General features: G+C 39.6%; 1 protein-coding gene and 1 pseudogene across 15 annotated transcripts in view; one reads left to right on the forward strand and one right to left on the reverse strand.

The window, feature by feature from the left end:
- INTS9 (integrator complex subunit 9) overlaps positions 1-19249 on the reverse strand; it is a 122309-nt gene that overhangs the window by 35665 nt on the left and 67395 nt on the right. For 10 of the 15 annotated variants that reach the window (NR_026826.3, NM_001145159.3, XM_011544573.2 and 7 more), the window contains 2 exons: positions 10167-10287; positions 9002-9136 (listed from right to left, as the gene is read on the reverse strand). Coding sequence is in view for 14 of the 15 variants with exons in the window: in NM_001145159.3 (NP_001138631.1) it covers positions 9002-9136; positions 10167-10287 (256 nt within the window). In the remaining variant the exon portion in view is untranslated. The remainder of the gene's footprint in view (positions 1-9001; positions 9137-10166; positions 10288-19249) is intronic. The other 5 variants (XM_047421958.1, XM_047421956.1, XM_047421955.1 and 2 more) reach the window with 1 other exon arrangement.
- On the forward strand, positions 6778-7089 carry RPL36AP32 (ribosomal protein L36a pseudogene 32; annotated as a pseudogene).

Here is a 19249-nt window from a genome sequence, read left to right on the forward strand (position 1 = left end):
CGCAGGTCACAAGCAAATCCATTCATTTGATTAGCCAGGGCCAGAAAGGCTGCAGCTTCAATAATCAAAAGTGCTTGCTAGTTATTGCCAATACGTTTATGGGATCTTTCCAACAGGTGCTGCTTGTTTTGTTCTATTAGTATTACCATTTTTAAACTGTGTCCTGGGCCCTTTTTCTGGGCAGACTGTACAACTGTTTGAAATAAGTTTTTTTAAGGAAAAAAGTTTTAAGCCATTTAAATGTCCAACAGTGGAAGAGTTAAACATTTCATGGTATATCCACGCGACAGACCACCAAACAGATATCATATGTCATGTGGTAGAATCCATGATGACCTAAGTAAAGTTCACTATACAGTTCATCAGAAAGAGTAGAAAAGCAGGCTGCAAATAGCTCTTAATGTCAGGATTCATATAGTTTTTATCTTTTCTCTGAGATTTTTGTATTTTCCAAAATTATTACAATAAATACAAATTAAAATTTTCTAATCAGAAATAGAAGAAAATAATATTATTTCAAAATAAGATGTCTATTATAACTCCTGACAAGACCACACATGGGCATGAACTGCTGGCATGCTCCCAGAATCTATTTTTATTTTTATTTATTTATTTTGAGACAGGGTCTCACTTTGTTGCCCAGGCTGGAGCACACTGGTGCAGTCACAGCTCACTGCAGCCTCAACCTCCCTAACTCAAGCGATCCTCCCACCTCAGCATCCTGAGTAGCTGGGACCACAGGTATGTGCCACCACGCCCAGCTTCTTTCTTGATTTTTTGTAGAGACGGGGTCCCACTATATTGTCCAAGCTGGTCTTGAACACTCCTGAGCTCAAGCAATCCTCCCACCTTGGCCTCCCAAGGTGTTGGGATTACAGGCATGAGCCAATATGCTCTGCCACACTCCCAGAATCTAAACTGAGAGGACAGAGACGCTCAGAAGCAAGGGCAGCTGACAAATTTGAGAAACTAAATCAAAACTGGGATAAATTCCTGGGGAAACTAGGGGTCTTGCAATGAGGACAAAATGGCAGGCAATCGCCTCTACTGCGGGTGGAGGAGAGGCTGGGTAAAAACCCTTTGTCCTTTTTTCTTTCCTCCGTATTACAGTTGGCAGATTGTGGAAGGTTCAATACCCCCCGCCCCCCTGCATGAGGAAGGAAATGCCAGAACAGTGGGATGAAGGTTCACAGAACACCAAGCCACTCCTTGCTTGTTCCCTCACACCACAAGGGCAAAGTGGTGACAAGTCAGGGAGACACTCAGGAGAAACAATGCCTGAAGCAGTGGTATGAGAGGAGGGTCCCTGAGGGTCAAGCAAGAAGAGCTCACAGGGAATCAAACAAGAACACCAAGGAAGGCAGCATCTACTAAACATGGTGAGCTAAAATCTATCCCCACAGGGAGAATTAGTGAACCAGAGAGTAGGAATATATGTATTAAAATGTCCCAAAAATACACAGAGGGCAATTAAAATGAGCAGGTATAAAGAGAAACACCTAGAAATACTGTGAACAAAAGTATAGTTGTGGAAATGAAGAGTTCAATAGATAGGCTGAGGAGCAGCATGAATACAGCTGAGAATGAATTCAGGGGCTGGAAGATTTTTTCCAGGAGGCTTCATGAAGTAGGTGGGAAATACACAAGAAAAAAGACATGCAATACACAGAAGTGTCAGTATCTATAATACTAGAAATTCCTTAAAAGGAAAAGAAAATCAACCAGGAGTAAGTAATTTAAAATATGACTAAGAATTTATTTAAGTTAAAGGAAATTGGAAGATCTCACAGATACTACATTCACAGGAAAAACACACATTGAAGAGAAATAATTTTAAAACTTACAAATATTAAAGTGAAAATTCTAAAAGCAGATCCCATATAATGGAACGCAAATCTAAATGGCTTCAGGGTTCTTAATGACAACAAGCGATACAAGTGGAAAATGAAGTCATATTTCCAAAGCTTTATCCTATCGAAGTTTTTTGCCTTTGATTTTTAATCCATCCAAGCTATCATTTAAATGTGAGAAAAAAATTAAAGACATTCTTAATAATTCAAGGCCTCACAGGCTTACCACTTCAAGACCCTCTAGATTCCCATTCCTCAAGCATTCCTGGAAGAAGAAAAGTCAATCTAGCAGGATGTTATGAGATCCTGTTTATGGAAAGTAAGGTTGAAAAACTTACAATATATCTCAATGAAGATCACTGTTGTTGCAGTAAGGAATATATTCACCACCGTATTATGTATGTTCTAAACGACCCAGAACTAAAATTCTAGATGGTTTCACCATGGTCATCATAGGGTATGATGTGCAAAGGAAGAGATGAGGGGAGATAGGGGAGATGAGGACAGTGTGGCTTTGGGAGGAAAGATACAGATACTGATAAGTAAGATAGTCACAGAAAAAATAAACTAAGAAATAACTCAGAAGAATAAAAATAAAATGTGCATTTTCACATATACAGAAGGAAATTTACACTTCTAAAGGAAGGCAAGAAAGGACTAGGAAAAGAATGAACTAAAAACATGAAAGAAGATGGTAAAACTACAATAGTCATCACAAGAAACACAAACAGGCTCACCAACCAAGAGACACTAGATTAAAAAAAAAATCCCGGCCAAGCACGGTGGCTCATGCCTGTAATCCCAGCACTTTGGGAGGCCAAAGGTGGACCGATCGCTTGAGGCCAGGAGTTTGAGACCAGCCTGGGCAATATAGGAAGATCCTGTCTCTACAAAAAAAACAAAAATTAGCCAGGCACGGTGACATGTGCCTGTAGTCCCAGCTACTTGGGAGGCTGAGGTGGGAGGACTGCTTGAACTGCGGAGGCAGAGGCTGCAGTGAGTTGAGATTGCACCATTGTGCTCTAGCCTGAGCGACAGAGCAAGACCTTGTCTCAAAAAAACAAAACAAAACAAAAAAAACCAGGCACATATGAAATGGGAAAAAGCCTCTTAGCTTTTAATGCAGTTTTTATAGAGAAAAAAAGAAAGCATCGAAGCATCCTGATAAAAAGAATAACTGATTGATAAAACACAATGATCATGAATATATGGACTCCTGAGTATACAGCTTAGAAATATTAAAAAAGTAAAAATTGGCAAACTACAGTGAGAAACAGATAAATCAACAACTAACACACCCTTTTCAGAAATCAGTAGCTAAGCAAAGATATAAGACTTGAATAATGCAAAAAACTCAAATACATATAGAAATATTTTACCCAACAGTGAATACACATTCTTTTCCAAGACACGTAGAACATTTACAAAAATAGATTGTGCTTCAAAGGAAGACTAATCAAATTTCAGTCCATCAGGATATGTTTATTATAATGCAAAAGATTAGAATCCTGAAACATATGCTTAAAAACATTTCCTCTAATCCTATGTCTAATCAGACTGGATGGACTAGAAACAAACAATTATACTGTAAAATAACCTTTGGTTATTTAAATCATGAACATTATAGAGAAAATTATGACATACTTAGAGATGAATGACAAAGCACTGAGTATCAAAAATGTAACAGAGTAAAATTATACTAAGAAACCGGTTGCTTTAAATACATTTATCGAAAAGCAAACACTGAAACACACTTAGCAAGTATTAAACAGAGTAAATCCAAAGTAAAGAAGGAAGGAAGGAGATAAAGGGCAGAACAAAGGATGAAAATACAACCAAAACGATTAAAAGCAAAAACTTATTTTTTGAATAAAATCAATAATACAGACAAACTTCTGGCAAGTCTGATCAAGATGATGATGAAAATAAAATTTAGAATGAAAACAGACTTACACAAAAAAGGTTAAACAAATAAAAGAGGATTATAAATAGCTCTATGCCTATGATTTTGAAAACCTAAGCAAAAAGGACAAATCTCTGCCAAAATTCTGGCACAATTTTGGCCCAGAAAATATAGTTCAATAATGGTAATCCAGGTCCAGACAGTTTTATGGAACATTTGACCAAACTTTCAGGAAAAGATAATCCCTATCTCATATACTTTTTTCTGACATTAGAAAAAGAGGGAAAGGCTCCCAAATCACCTTATGAGACTAATACACCTTGGCTTCCAACAAACAAAGGTAGTACAAGAAAATAATGTATGGGCCCATTTTTCACCTATGACTATAGATTATAAACTTCAATAAAATATTCACCAACTCATTCCTGGAGAGTATTTTAAAAAGAATAGATTGTAATCAAGCAAGATTTATCCCAGGAATATTGGATGGTTAAATGTGAGAAAAGCTAACACTGCAGTTCACTACATTAATGGTCTCAAAGGAGAGAAATCAAAGTTGATCTCACATGCTCAAAAGCATTTGATAAGGTATAACACTTATATCTGACTTTTAAAAAATCAGAAAGTTGGGGATAAAGGAGACACTCCTTAACTTGACAAATAAACATGGTGCAGTAAGCGTGATGTTTAACGAAGAAACTACAAAAGCTTTCCTTTTACAGCCTTATACAAGACAAGGATGTCCACTATCATCATTGCTGTGCAACGTAGTATTATAGGGCTCAGTCACAAGATAAGAAAAATAAAAGATACAAAGGTTAGAAGAGAGGTGAGAAAACTGTTACTTCTTTGCAAGATAATATCAATAGATTATTAGAATTAAGAGAATTCAGCATGGTTGCTAAATATCAAATCAATTAAAAAATTAATACTGAGACCTCATGCTCAGTAAAGGCTAGTTCTCTTCCTTCTCCCTTTGGGAGGTTGCACTCTTTGGCCTCAATTTTCCTTTAACTCTCCATCCATTCTTACACAAGACTATTTTTCTTTCTTCCACTGTCTGTTGGTAAAAGTTCCCTATGGATCAGTCTTTGGCCCTCAGCCCTTTATTTAGATTTTTTTTTTTTTTTTTTGAGACGGAGTCTCTCTCTGTTGCCCTGGCTGAAGTGTAATAGTGCGATCTCGGCTCACTGCAACCTCCACCTCCTGGGTTCAAGCGATTCTCCTGCCTCAGCCTCCCGAGTATTTGGGATTACAGGTGAGCACCATCACACCGGTTAATTTTTGTATTTTTAGTAGAGATGGGGTTTCACCATGTTGGGGTCTTGAACTCCTGACCTTGTGATCTGCCTGCCTTGGTCTCCCAAAGTGCTAGGATTACAGGTGTGTGCCACCGTGCCCGGTTAGATTTTTAAAACGTGACAACTCTCCAGTTTGTCTCCAGACTTGCCTCCACATCCCAGTTCCAGCCCCATATTTACATCTGTCTAATGTTCTCTCAAATTCACATTCATGAAACCTACTACCCTCTTCTGCAACAAATGTCCCTCTGCCAACTCTTCCTTGTTAACTGGAATGGCCATTAACACCATTCTCAATGTCATGCAGACATAAGATCTGTAACTTTTATTCTTTCTTTTCTGAAGACAGTGGGCATTCAACAAATGTTTCTTGCATTAAAGACCCGCCAATGTTTTAACTCTTTTCTCCATTCTTACTGCCTCAGGCTTAATCCAAAGCCTTATTTCCCCATGTTTATCAGAATTCTACAGCAGCCTGTGATATTCTTCCTAGTTAGTAAAGATTGTACTCAAGTAGACCAGGGGTTAGCAAAGTTTGCTCTAACATTTAAAGTAGAATTCTGCCATTATAACTTTTTTTTTTTTTTTGAGACAGGGTCTTGCTCTGTTGCCCAGGCTAGAGTACAATGGCACAAACATGGCTCACTGCAGCCTCAACCTCCCAGGCTGAAGAAATCCTCATGCCTCAGCCTCCCGAGTAGCTGGGACCACAGGCGCATGCCACCGCACCTGGCTTTTTTTTATTTTATTTTAACTTTTCGTAGAGATGGGATCTTGCCATGTTGCCCAGGCTGGTCTCCAATTCCTGGGCTCAAGCAATCATCTTGCCTTGGCCTCCCAAAATGCTGTGATTACAGGCATGAGCCACCTTGTCCAGCCTACGGTGTATATTCAGCCATAAACATTCCATAAACAAGTGGGTGTGGCTGTACTTCAACAAAATATTATATGCCAAAATAGGTGGCATGCTACATTTAGTGCCCAGGCCACAGTTTGCTAACATCTGCATTAGTCTATCAAGTTTTTCAAACCAAAACTTTTCTCATCCCTGCCAATTCAATACACAATCCAATTACGTGGGTAGAGAAAAATCTAATTTTTTTCTTTTTTACATATAACACAGGTTGCCAGCTAAAAATTAAAATTAATTACTTAGGTATGTTGCTCATTACTTTCAAGACATTATTTTCCCTTTAAATTTATGGACCTTGTAAGAATAATTTACTGGAAATTACATCAATAGTACTGTAAAGGCTTTGAACTAAGCAGGACAAATCGCGAGAGTTGGCAACCAAGTCATCTTTCTGTCTTTTATGGAAGAACATATCAGGAACGATAGAAGCTGCCAATAAAAAATTTTGATTCAATGAAGCAGATGATGGTGACATTGATGGGCTTTTGATTTCAATAACCAGGAAGGGCCCAGAATTCCGCCAGATGCAGGAAAAAATAGCAACGTCCCCTCTAGACCTTGAGATGAAACTTGGCTATAAAAGAAGGTATAAAGAAATAATACAGAATGGCAGCTCAGACATCCTATTGTTCAACACTAGAGCACAGCATGGTTCTCCCTGTATTAAAATGGGGTCTGTTAATTATTGACTTAGCCATTCCATAATGCATGCACATATCAAGACATCATGCATACCATAAATATATACAATTTTTATTTGTAATTAAAAAATGAATAATTTCTTTCTTTCTTTACTGATAGTGCTCTAACATGGTGAATGTTCTTCAAACCCACTGGACTTTGTGTAAGAAGCATGGTTGGCACCAACCCCACAGAGTGACATGGTACAAGAAGGGAAAAGATGATCTGTATGCCAAGGGAAAGTGGCTTAATGGCAGGAAGGGGTGGCTATGTAGGCAGACCAAGCCAATCTTCTGGAAAAAGGCTAAAACTACAAACGAGATTGTGCTAAAGCTTAAGTGTTGGGCCCAACTGCAGATCTAGGAGAATGCTGGCTACTAGAGATACAAGTATTTTTAACTGGGAAGGGATAAAAGGAGAAAAGGCCAAGTGATCCAGTTCTTAGCTTCATTTTTGGTTTTATTATGAAGACAATAAAAATTTGAGGTTATGTTAAAAAATAAATAGGCCAGGTGTGGTGGCTATAGTCCTAGCTACTTGGGAGGACTGCTTGAGCCCAGGAGTTTGAGATTACAGTGAGCTATGACTACACCACTGTACTCCAGTCCGGGTGACAGAACAAGACCTTCTCTCTCTCTCTCTCTCTCCGTAAATAGATGTAGATAAACAAATGTAATATGGACTTCCACAAGTTACCTAATGTATCTATATACCCATTCAACAGCTAACTAATGTCCCCCCACTCCCTATTACAAACATAGAAATAACCAACATTCAGGAAATGAACAGTAAATTATTTACAAATACCAAAAAGGAGTAAGTATCACATTCATAACAATGTTTATATGTGCTAGGCTTCTTGCCAAATATGACTGGAATGAATAACTTAAAACGTTCCAATAGTTTCCCTCTCCATATTAAAATAAAACCAAAATTCCTCCTCACAGCCTGCTAACACTACATGACATGGTGTCTGCCACTCTCTTGGACCTCACTGCTGACCTCCACGCTGTGACCACAATAGCCTTCTCTGCCCTTCAAACATGCCCAGCTTATTCTTACTTTAGGGGCCCTTCACTGGCCATCCCTTTGTAATACAAACACTCACGGCTTTACGTGGCTAATTTCTCTGTTTTTCTTTTTTCTTTCTCTCTCTTTTTTTTTTTTTTTGTTGAGATGGAGTCTCACTCTGTCACCCAGGCTGGGTACAGCAGCATGATCTCAGCTCACTGCAACCTCTGTCTCCCGAGTTCAAGTGATTCTCCCGCCTCAGCCTCCCAAGTAGCTGGGATTATAGGTGCACACCATCACACCTAATTTTTGTATTTTTAGTAGAGATGGGGTTTCACCATGTTGGCCAGGTTGGTCTTGAACTCCTGACCTAAAGTGATCCACTCGCCTTGGCTTCCCAAAGTGCTGGGATTACAGGCATGAGCCACCATACCCGGCCTTTTTTTTTTTTTCTTGAGGCATAATCTCACTCTGTTACCCGCACTGGAGTACGGTGGCGCAATCTCGGCTGACTGCAACCTCCGCTTCCCAGGCTCAAGCGATCCTTCTGCCTTAGCTTCCTGAGTAGCTGGGACCACAGCGTGTGCCACCACACCCGGGTAATTTTTGTATTTTTTGTAGAGACAGAGTTTTGCCATATTGCCCAGGCCGGTCCTGAACTCCTAGGCTCAAGCAGTTATCCCATTTCGGCCTCCCAAAATGATGGGATTACAGGTATGAGCCACCGCGCCCAGCCGACATGGTTTATCTCTCCAGGTCTCAGTTCAAGTGAGATCTTCCCATTGGCTTTCCTGGGCACCCAATCTAAACCAATGGCCATCATTCTGAAAATCACCCTGCTTTACTGTTTTCAGTACTTGTATCTCAATCGGAAATGACCAGGCACTTTATTTGTTTACCTACTATACACCATCCTCTCCCCAACATCATCAACTCCCCTACAACATAAGATCTACGGGCACATGCTTTGCCCGTTGGTCACCACTGAATCCCCAATACCCAGATGTGTGCATGACACTTGACACTTGGCCCTTGGGAAGGATTTTAAACAGTTAATATTTGCTGAGTAAATGCATAACCATCTGTGTCCCACATCAGGCTATGGTCTTTGGAAGGCCTGGGGGATTTCAGAATCCTAGGAGTGACCCTCAAGGTAGCAGGACTATTTCAGAGAAACCTGTAGGTCAAAATGTTGAGACTCAAATAGTCTACCTTGGCTAGAGAGTATCTGTAGAAAACCATATTTGGAAGATTTAAAAATGGCTGATGGTTCCTTGGATACATTCTGAATTTGACTTAAGTAACCAAAAAGCTGAGTTGCTAGAAGAGAATTTGGAATTACCTGGGGGTGTGTGGTAAGCAAGGAGGATCCAGAGACATAAGACACTTTCTCGTAATGAGACTGGATGATCCAGTTGGAGCTCCCAAGGGCATAGCCAGAGCTCAGAGGAGTCACCTGGACCGCACCAAAAAGCTCCTAAAAGAGAACCACAGTAAGAATGTGCAATGAGCTTACAGTGACAGTCACATGAGGTAATTCTGCAGGGAAAAACAACAGAAATATCCTCAGTTTAAAAACAAAAATTATTTTAAAGTAAACCAGAGACTGGGTGCAATGGCTCACGCCTGTAATCCCAGCACTTTGGGAGGCTGAGGCCAGGAGTTCAAGACCAGCCTGGGCAACATGGTGAAACCCTGTCTCTACAAAAAAATACAAAAATTAGCTGGGCATGGTGGCACATGCCTGTAGTCCTCAAGCAGCTACTTGGGGCAGGAGGATCACTGGAGCCCGGGAAGTTGAGGCTGCAGTGAGCCATGTTTGTACCACTGCGCTCCAGCCTGAGTAACAAAGTGGGACCTTGTCTCAGTCAATCAATCAATAAAGTAAACTAGAAAGTTTTAAGGAAAACAGAAAGATGATGGAGATCAACTGGCAGACAAAGAAAGCAATCCTATAATATTTACTTGTCACCTGAGAGCTTCAGCTCTCTTCCATGTCCCCAGGCACTCAAGGTTCACACATTAAAAGGGAGAGATGAAATATTACCAAACAGACCAAAGACTCACACACTTTGGCTTTCCTTTTTCATTTTCAGTTAGGTGTTAGGCCCTTGTTGTTCGGTACTGAGTAGCTCTGGGCACAGGATGACAGTAAGAAATGGGAAGGCTTATCATTTAGGTCAGAGCTCAAAAGTCACACTTGACAAACTCTTCTCTCTTCCCGTTTCACCCATCCAAAATCTATAAAATCTAATGTGAACAGGATGAGACGCCTTTCTCCGGACTCCCTGCACGCTGGCCAATCGAATGCTGGCTGGTGATGGAGATGTGAGGGTGGGGAAAGAGCACCAATAAAATCCTGCGCGGAACGGAGGAAAGAACAGAGGCTCTGGATCCTCAGCAATGGAATGGCTTTAAAAACGTAACTATAGGATTCTTCCAAACAACAAACAACAATATGAATGGAAAGCATTCATGAATAACTGAAATGTAATATGAATACTCACAATTTTCTGAGAATATCCCACCAGCTGGATTTTACTAAGGGCAGAGTTCACCTCTTGCATTGTATAGCATCTTCTCCAGGTTGAGACTTCCACTGCATCCTTGAGAGGAGAAGGTAACAGCCTGCAAATGGATCACAATGTCAACTACCAGGTGAACATTTCTTCATGTTCTACAGCATTCCTTTCTAGTAATTTGTCCATTTGATCCAAATGGTTTAATTTACTGGCATATAATTGTTCATAGGATTCCTTTATGACCATTTCTCTGTTTTTATTTTTACTTTTTTTGAGACAGAGTCTCACTGTGTCACCAGGCTGGAGTGCTATGGCGCCATCTCGGCTCACTGCAACCTCCACCTCCCGGGTTCAAGCGAATCTCCTGCCTCAGCCTCCTAAGTAGCTGGGATTACAGGCGCCCACCACCATGCCCGGCTAATTTTTGTATTTTTAGTAGAGATGGGGTTTCACCATGTTGGCCATGATGGTCTCAATCTCCTGACCTTGTGATAGGCCCAACTCGGCCTCCCAAAGTGCTGGGATTACAGGCATGAGCCACCGTGCTCAGCCATTTCTTTTTTTAAAAAAAAAAAAAAAATAGAGACATGGTCTTGCTATGTCGCCCAAAATGTGTCAACAGAAAAACGTTTTATCATTTGCTCCAAAAGAATCAGGAGACCTGAAGAGTAACTTCCCTGACATTCACTGTACAATACAGGTCCAAGTACTGGGGTGAAATGAATGCATGCCATTAGCCTCTCCTCTCTCTCCTGAAACAACACTGAACAGGGCTTCTCACACACACACACACACACACACACACACACACACACACACACACACACACTCTCACACACACACCCTTAAGACAAAGAGAATGAGAGAAGAGACAATAGCAAGGCATTTTAGAAAGTAGACAGACAAATGATAACTGACTTCATAGGCCCAGGAAAGTTCAATGCAAACGTTTAATTTCTACTGCAGAACCCACAAAAAATATGGCAACTGAAAACAACAGGTGTATCAGGAAGTTGAATCAACCTAAAAACAAGAGGAACTGTTGAAAAAAGAGACGAGATACTTAGAACCTTCCAGATCTCCTCATTCCTTCCATATAGCTCAGCAGATGTCCCTTCTCCTCTCAGGTATGCTACCAGAGGTTGTTCTCTGGAGGGAGTAAAAATGAAAGTCTGGACTACGGGAAACCATCAACTGAGACAGCCTTCCTAAACAAAAATTTACAGAGGAACAATGTTCCTCTCCTCATTTGGCTGCCAAAGCACTATGAGTAAGCTTATTCCCCTCAGGGTAGGGGGCTGAAAGAATCTTCTCTGAAGAATCCGATCAGCCTCAAAGAAAAAAAATTAATGAAAAGATTCTAACGCAGAGGATTCCACAAAGAAACAGCTCAATCAGATTACTTTATGGTAAAGTGTGGAAGTGAACAAGTCCTACCCATGGCACATAGACTTTCTAATTAGTTTTTTTAATCGTTCAACTCTTAAACATGAGCCAATAGCCAAGGACTACCATAAATTTGAGAAAAGTCTCTAAAATAATAAAGGCCTCAAGTGGGGGCAGAGGAGCAGGCAGGGAAATTAGAAGAAATAAATTAGGCAGGTAGAAGAAAACTTTAAGAACAGCTTGTCCTTACTATCGTTAGAAAAATAAGATAGTATAGCTAAGAAATGAGAAGAGATTGCTACAAAATAAAAGATTAAGAGAATAAAAAGAGCTGTTACAAATTAGAAATACAATGTCATATAGAGAGTGAAAGCATGCCAACAATACACCAGAATTTCAAATAAGCTAAAAAGATTTAAAAGTTATACAAACGTGAAAGAGGTACATACATGAAAAACCAGCAAAGCTTATAAATGAGGTGACAAAACTCAATAAAGAATTAGAAATAAAAGAAAACATCATTTTGGAAATGAAGACTAAACTACATGTTGACCATCCCAAATCTGAAAACCTGAAGTCAGAAATGGTCTAAAATCTGCAGCTTTTTGAGGCAAACATGACGCTTAAAGGAAATGCTCACTGGATTACTTTGGATTTTGGATTTGGGATGCTCAATCAGCAATATTCCAAAATCGGAAAAAGTCTGAAGTCTGAAACACTTTGGTCCCAAGTATTTCACATAAGGGACACTCAACCTGTAATAGAAACACAAGAGTAGATTAATAAAAAATACCAAAAAGAAATGAAGAGATTTAAACAATTCAAAAGAACCTAACAAATGTTGAAGACAGATAAGCAAGATGCCACATAAGGGAATCTTATGTGGCATCACAGAAAACCAAGTGAGAATAATAATTAACACTCATAATATTCAATTACTAAATACTATAATTGCTAAAATGAAGAGACACGAAACTACACACTAAAAGAACACAGTGTACACTTGAGAATACTGACCCAGAACAATGAACAACAGACATATTCTGGAAAATATTTAGACTACAAGCAAACCTTTGGGATCTAGGAAAAGAACAAGTGACTTACAAGGAAAGAAAATTAGATTTTATCAGTGTTTTTAATAGCAATGTTTAATATTAGAAAAAAATATGAGAACATATTTAAGATACTCAAAGAAAGAAAATGCATGCCAAGGACTATATATCTAGCAAAACTGACTTTCTTTTTTTTTTCCTTTTTTAAAAATTTTATTATTATTATACTTTAAGTTTTAGGGTACATGTGCACAATGTGCAGGTTAGTTACATATGTATACATGTGCCATGCTGGTGTGCTGCACCCATTAACTCGTCATTTAGCATTAGGTATGTCCCCTAAAGCTGTCCCTCCCCCCTCCCCCCACCCACAACAGTCCCCAGAGTGTGATGTTCCCCTTCCTGTGTCCATATGTTCTCATTGTTCAATTCCCACCTATGAGTGAGAATATGCGGTGTTTGGTTTTTTTGTTCTTGCGATAGTTTACTGTGAATGATGATTTCCAATTTCGTCCATGTCCCTACAAAGGACATGAACTCATCATTTTTTATGGCTGCATAGTATTCCATGGTGTATATGTGCCACATTTTCTTAATCCAGTCTATCATTGTTGGACATTTGGGTTGGTTCCAAGTCTTTGCTATTGTGAATAGTGCCGCAATAAACATACGTGTGCATGTGTCTTTATAGCAGCATGACTTATAGTCCTTTGGGTATATACCCAGTAATGGGATGGCTGGGTCAAATGGTATTTCTAGTTCTAGATCCCTGAGGAATCGCCACACTGACTTCCACAATGGTTGAACTAGTTTACAGTCCCACCAACAGTGTAAAAGTGTTCCTATTTCTCCACATCCTCTCCAGCACCTGTTGTTTCCTGACTTTTTAATGATTGCCATTCTAACTGGTGTAAGGTGGTATCTCATTGTGGTTTTCATTTGCATTTCTCTGATGGCCAGTGATGGTGAGCATTTTTTCATGTGTTTTTTGGCTGCATAAATGTCTTCTTTTGAGAAGTGTCTGTTCATGTCCTTTGCCCACTTTTTGATGGGGTTGTTTGTTTTTTTCTTGTAAACTTGTTTGAGTTCATTGTAGATTCTGGATATTAGCCCTTTGTCAGATGAGTAGGTTGCGAAAATTTTCTCCCATTTTGTAGGTTGCCTGTTCACTCTGATGGTAGTTTCTTTTGCTGTGCAGAAGCTCTTTAGTTTAATTAGATCCCATTTGTCAATTTTGGCTTTTATTGCCATTGCTTTTGGTGTTTTAGACATGAAGTCCTTGCCCATGCCTATGTCCTGAATGGTAATGCCTAGGTTTTCTTCTAGGGTTTTTATGGTTTTAGGTCTAACGTTTAAGTCTTTAATCCATCTTGAATTAATTTTTATATAAGGTGTAAGGAAGGGATCCAGTTTCAGCTTTCTCCATATGGCTAGCCAGTTTTCCCAGCACCATTTATTAAATAGGGAATCCTTTCCCCATTGCTTGTTTTTCTCAGGTTTGTCAAAGATCAGATAGTTGTAGATATGTGGCGTTATTTCTGAGGGCTCTGTTGTGTTCCATTGATCTATATCTCTGTTTTGGTACCAGTAACATGCTGTTTTGGTTACTGTAGCCTTGCAGTATAGTTTGAAGTCAGGTAGCGTGATGCCTCCAGCTTTGTTCTTTTGGCTTAGGACTGACTTGGTGATGTGGGCTCTTTTTTGGTTCCATATGAACTTTAAAGTAGTTTTTTCCAATTCTGTGAAGAAAGTCATTGGTAGCTTGATGGGGATGGCATTGAATCTATAAATTACCTTGGGCAGTGTGGCCATTTTAACGATACTGATTCTTCCTACCCATGAGCATGGAATGTTCTTCCATTTGTTTGTACCCTCTTTTATTTCATTGAGCAGTTGTTTGTAGTTCTCCTTGAAGAGGTCCTTCACATCCCTTGTAAGTTGGATTCCTAGGTATTTTATTCTCTTTGAAGCAATTGTGAATGGGAGTTCACTCATGATTTGGCTGTTTGTCTGTTATTGGTGTATAAGAATGCTTGTGATTTTTGTACATTGATTTTGTATCCTGAGACTTTGCTGAAGTTGCTTATCAGCTTAAGGAGATTTTGGGCTGAGACAATGGGGTTTTCTAGATATACAATCATGTCGTCTGCAAACAGGGACAATTTGACTTCCTCTTTTCCTAATTGAATACCCTTTATTTCCTTCTCCTGCCTAATTGCCCTGGCCAGAACTTCCAACACTATGTTGAATAGGAGTGGTGAGAGAGGGCATCCCTGTCTTGTGCCAGTTTTCAAAGGGAATGCTTCCAGTTTTTGCCCATTCAGTATGATATTGGCTGTGGGTTTGTCATAGATAGCTCTTATTATTTTGAGATACGTCCCATCAATGCCTAATTTATTGAGAGTTTTTAGCATGAAGGGTTGTTGAATTTTGTCAAAGGCCTTTTCTGCATCTATTGAGATAATCATGTGGTTTTTGTCTTTGGTTCTGTTTATATGCTGGATTACATTTCTTGATTTGCGTATATTGAACCAGCCTTGCATCCCAGGGATGAAGCCCACTTGATCATGGTAGATAAGCTTTTTGATGTGATGCTGGATTCGGTTTGCCAGTATTTTATTGAGGATTTTTGCATCAATGTTCATCAAGGATATTGGTCTAAAATTCTCTTTTTTGGTTGTGTCTCTGCCCGGCTTTGGTATCAGGATGATGCTGGCCTCATAAAATGAGTTAGGGAGGATTCCCTCTTTTTCTATTGATTGGAATAGTTTCAGAAGGAATGGTACCAGTTCCGCCTTGTACCTCTGGTAGAATTCGGCTGTGAATCCATCTGGTCCTGGACTCTTTTTGGTTGGTAAGCTATTGATTATTGCCACAATTTCAGAGCCTGTTATTGGTCTATTCAGAGATTCAACTTCTTCCTGGTTTAGTCTTGGGAGGGTGTATGTGTCGAGGAATTTATCCATTTCTTCTAGATTTTCTAGTTTATTTGCGTAGAGGTTTTTGTAGTATTCTCTGATGGTAGTTTGTATTTCTGTGGGATCGGTGGTGATATCCCCTTTATCATTTTTTATTGTGTCTATTTGATTCTTCTCTCTTTTCTTCTTTATTAGTCTTGCTAGCAGTCTATCAATTTTGTTGATCCTTTCAAAAAACCAGCTCTTGGATTCACTAATTTTTGGAAGGGTTTTTTGTGTCTCTATTTCCTTCAGTTCTGCTCTGATTTCAGTTATTTCTTGCCTTCTGCTAGCTTTTGAATGTGTTTGCTCTTGCTTTTCTAGTTCTTTTAATTGTGATGTTAGGGTGTCAATTTTGGATCCTTCCTGCTTTCTCTTGTGGGCATTTAGTGCTATAAATTTCCCTCTACACACTGCTTTGAATGTGTCCCAGAGATTCTGGTATGTTGTGTCTTTGTTCTTGTTGGTTTCAAAGAACATCTTTATTTCTGCCTTCATTTCATTATGTACCCAGTAGTCATTCAGGAGCAGGTTGTTCAGTTTCCATGTAGTTGAGCGGTTTTGAGTGAGTTTCTTAATCCTGAGTTCTAGTTTGATTGCACTGTTGTCTGAGAGACAGTTTGTTATAATTTCTGATCTTTTACATTTGCTGAGGAGAGCTTTACTTCCAAGTATGTGGTCAATTTTCGAATAGGTGTGGTGTGGTGCTGAAAAAATTGTATATTCTGTTGATTTGGGGTGGAGAGTTCTGTAGATGTCTATTAGGTCTGCTTGGTGCAGAGCTGAGTTCAATTCCTGGGTATCCTTATTAACTTTCTGTCTCGTTGATCTGTCTAATGTTGACAGTGGGGTGTTAAAGTCTCCCATTATTATTGTGTGGGAGTCTAAGTCTCTTTGTAGGTCACTCAGGACTTGCTTTATGAATCTGGGTGCTCCTGTTTGGGTGCATATATATTTAGGATAGTTAGTTCTTCTTGTTGAATTGATCCCTTTACCATTATGTAATGGCCTTCTTTGTCTCTTTTGATCTTTGTTGGTTTAAAGTCTGTTTTATCAGAGACAAGGATTGCAACCCCTGCCTTTTTTTGTTTTCCATTTGCTTGGTAGATCTTCCTCCATCCTTTTATTTTGAGCCTATGTGTGTCTCTGCACGTAAGATGGGTTTCCTGAATACAGCACACTGATGGGTCTTGACTCTTTATCCAATTTGCCAGTCTGTGTCTTTTAATTGGAGCATTTAGTCCATTTACATTTAAAGTTAATATTGTTATATGTGAATTTGATCCTGTCATTATGATGTTAGCTGGTTATTTTGCTCGTTAGTTGATGCAGTTTCTTCCTAGCCTTGATGGTCTTTACAATTTGGCATGATTTTGCAGTGGCTGGTACCAGTTGTTCCTTTCCATGTTTAGTGCTTCCTTCAGGAGCTCTTTTAGGGCAGGCCTGGTGGTGACAAAATCTCTCAGCATTTGCTTGTCTGTACACTTATGAAGCTTAGTTTGGCTGGATATGAAATTCTGGGTTGAAAATTCTTTTCTTTAAGAATGTTGAATATTGGCCCCCACTCTCTTCTGGCTTGTAGAGTTTCTGCTGAGAGATCAGCTGTTAGTCTGATGGGCTTCCCTTTGTGGATAACCCAACCTTTCTCTTTGGCTGCCCTTAACATTTTTTCCTTCATTTGAACTTTGGTGAATCTGACAATTACGTGTCTTGGAGTTGCTCTTCTCGAGGAGTAGCTTTGCAAAAGTGACTTTCAAGGCCAAAGATCACAGATAAACAATTATGAACATGCAGGAACTCAGGGAATATTGTTCTTGTGATCCCATCCTGAGAAATCTACTGAAGACTGAGTTTCAGACAATCAGAATGATGACAGAAACATCAGTATGCATGGGCCAGTAGTGAGCATTAAATATACAGTTACTAGTAGCTGACAGACTACATGCAGGTTAAAAGGAAGGGAGGATAGTATGTAATGCATATATATTCTGACAACACAGATAAGGTAAAAGTGTAAAAAAAAAGTGGGGGGAAATATGTATGCTCTGTTCTCCAAAGAGTACTAGAAACAATGACTAATTTAGTAGCAATGAGCATTACTAACAACCAAAATGGGATCTTAAAATTCCACTTCCCATTGCAGAAACCAGGGTTTCTTGGAGAAATGGGCAATTTAGGGCAGAGAATGTACATGAGGAATCTTAAACATCCTGCTATCACAGATGGCAAGGAAACAATCAAAGACTATGAGGGTCACAATAAACGACCCAGAGGACAATTAGTCCGTTTTCACACTGCTGATAAAGACATACTGAGACTGGGAAGAAAAATAGGTTTAATTGGACTTACAGTTCCACATGGCTGGGGAGGCCTCAGAATCATGGTGGGAGGTGAAAGATACTTCTTACATGGCGGTGGCAAGAGAAAATGAGGAAGAAGCAAAAGCGGAAGCCCCGATAAACCCATCAGATCTTGTGAGACTTATTCACTATCATGAGACTAGCACAGGAAAAACTGGTCCCCATGATTCCATTATCTCCCCCTGGGTCCCTCCCACAACATGTGGGAATTCTGGGAGATACAATTCAAGTTGAGATTTGGGTGGGGACGCAGGCAAACCATATAAACACCTGACAAGGCTTTCAGTGTTCAAAGATGGGACAATTCCAGCTGAAACCACCACCACCACCCAGTGGGTTGAAACCATGCAGTATTTCAGAGGGGGCTGTGATTGGACTGGAGCTTTTGAGTTGCTGGGAATGTTCTCTTCCTTGACCAGGGGTGTGGCTTTAAGAGTGGTTGCTTTATAATAATTTATTAAGCAATATATTAGTTTTGTGTGTTTTGATATCTGTGGGTTTTTTTTTTTTTCGCTGCTGTTGTTTTTAGACAAGGTCTTGCTCTGTCACCTAGGCTGGAGTGCAGTGGCATAATCACAGCTCACTGCAGCCTCAACCTCCTGAGCTCAAGCGATCCTCCTGCCTCAGCTTCCAAAGTAGCTGGGACTACAGATGCGTGCCACCATGCCCGGCTCAGTTTATTTTTTGTAGAGATGGGATTTTGCCACGTTGCCCATGCCGGTCTCAAACTCCTGGACTCAAGCGATCTGCCCGCCGTGGCCTCCCAAAGTGCTGGGATTATGGGCATGACTGATATCTGTGCTTTATATTACAATAAAAAGGTTAATTTAAAAATCAGAAGAATTGATGTCAAAAAAATATTACAGCAGGAATGAAACACTGATAGAAAGCTTGGGAAATAAAGGGAATTTTGCGGAAGAACAAACAAAAAGAAAAACAGAGATGGAAAAGAGAAGAGAAAAATATTTAAATGACAATCTAAGAGGTTCAGCATCTAATAGCAAGAGTTGCAGAAAGAACACAGAAAATGGGGGTAGAAAACTTTTTTTTTTAAACCAGAATCAAAATTCTTCATTTTCTAAATTGGGAATTGGCAAACCTTTTCCATAAGTGGCTGCAGATATTTTAAGCTTTGCAGATCACATATAGTCTCCACCACAACTATTCAACTTAGCCGTGTAATAGCATACACAATATGTAAACAAGTGTGGCTGTGTTCTGATAAAACTTTATAAAAACAGTGGTGGGCCAGATCTGGCCCAAAAACAGTGCTGGCCTTAGTTGCCACTCCTGTTCTAAATTGAAAGGGCCCA

This window comes from Homo sapiens, chromosome 8 (assembly GCF_000001405.40).
Source record: "Homo sapiens chromosome 8, GRCh38.p14 Primary Assembly".
In the NCBI taxonomy this organism is placed as follows: domain Eukaryota; kingdom Metazoa; phylum Chordata; class Mammalia; order Primates; family Hominidae; genus Homo; species Homo sapiens.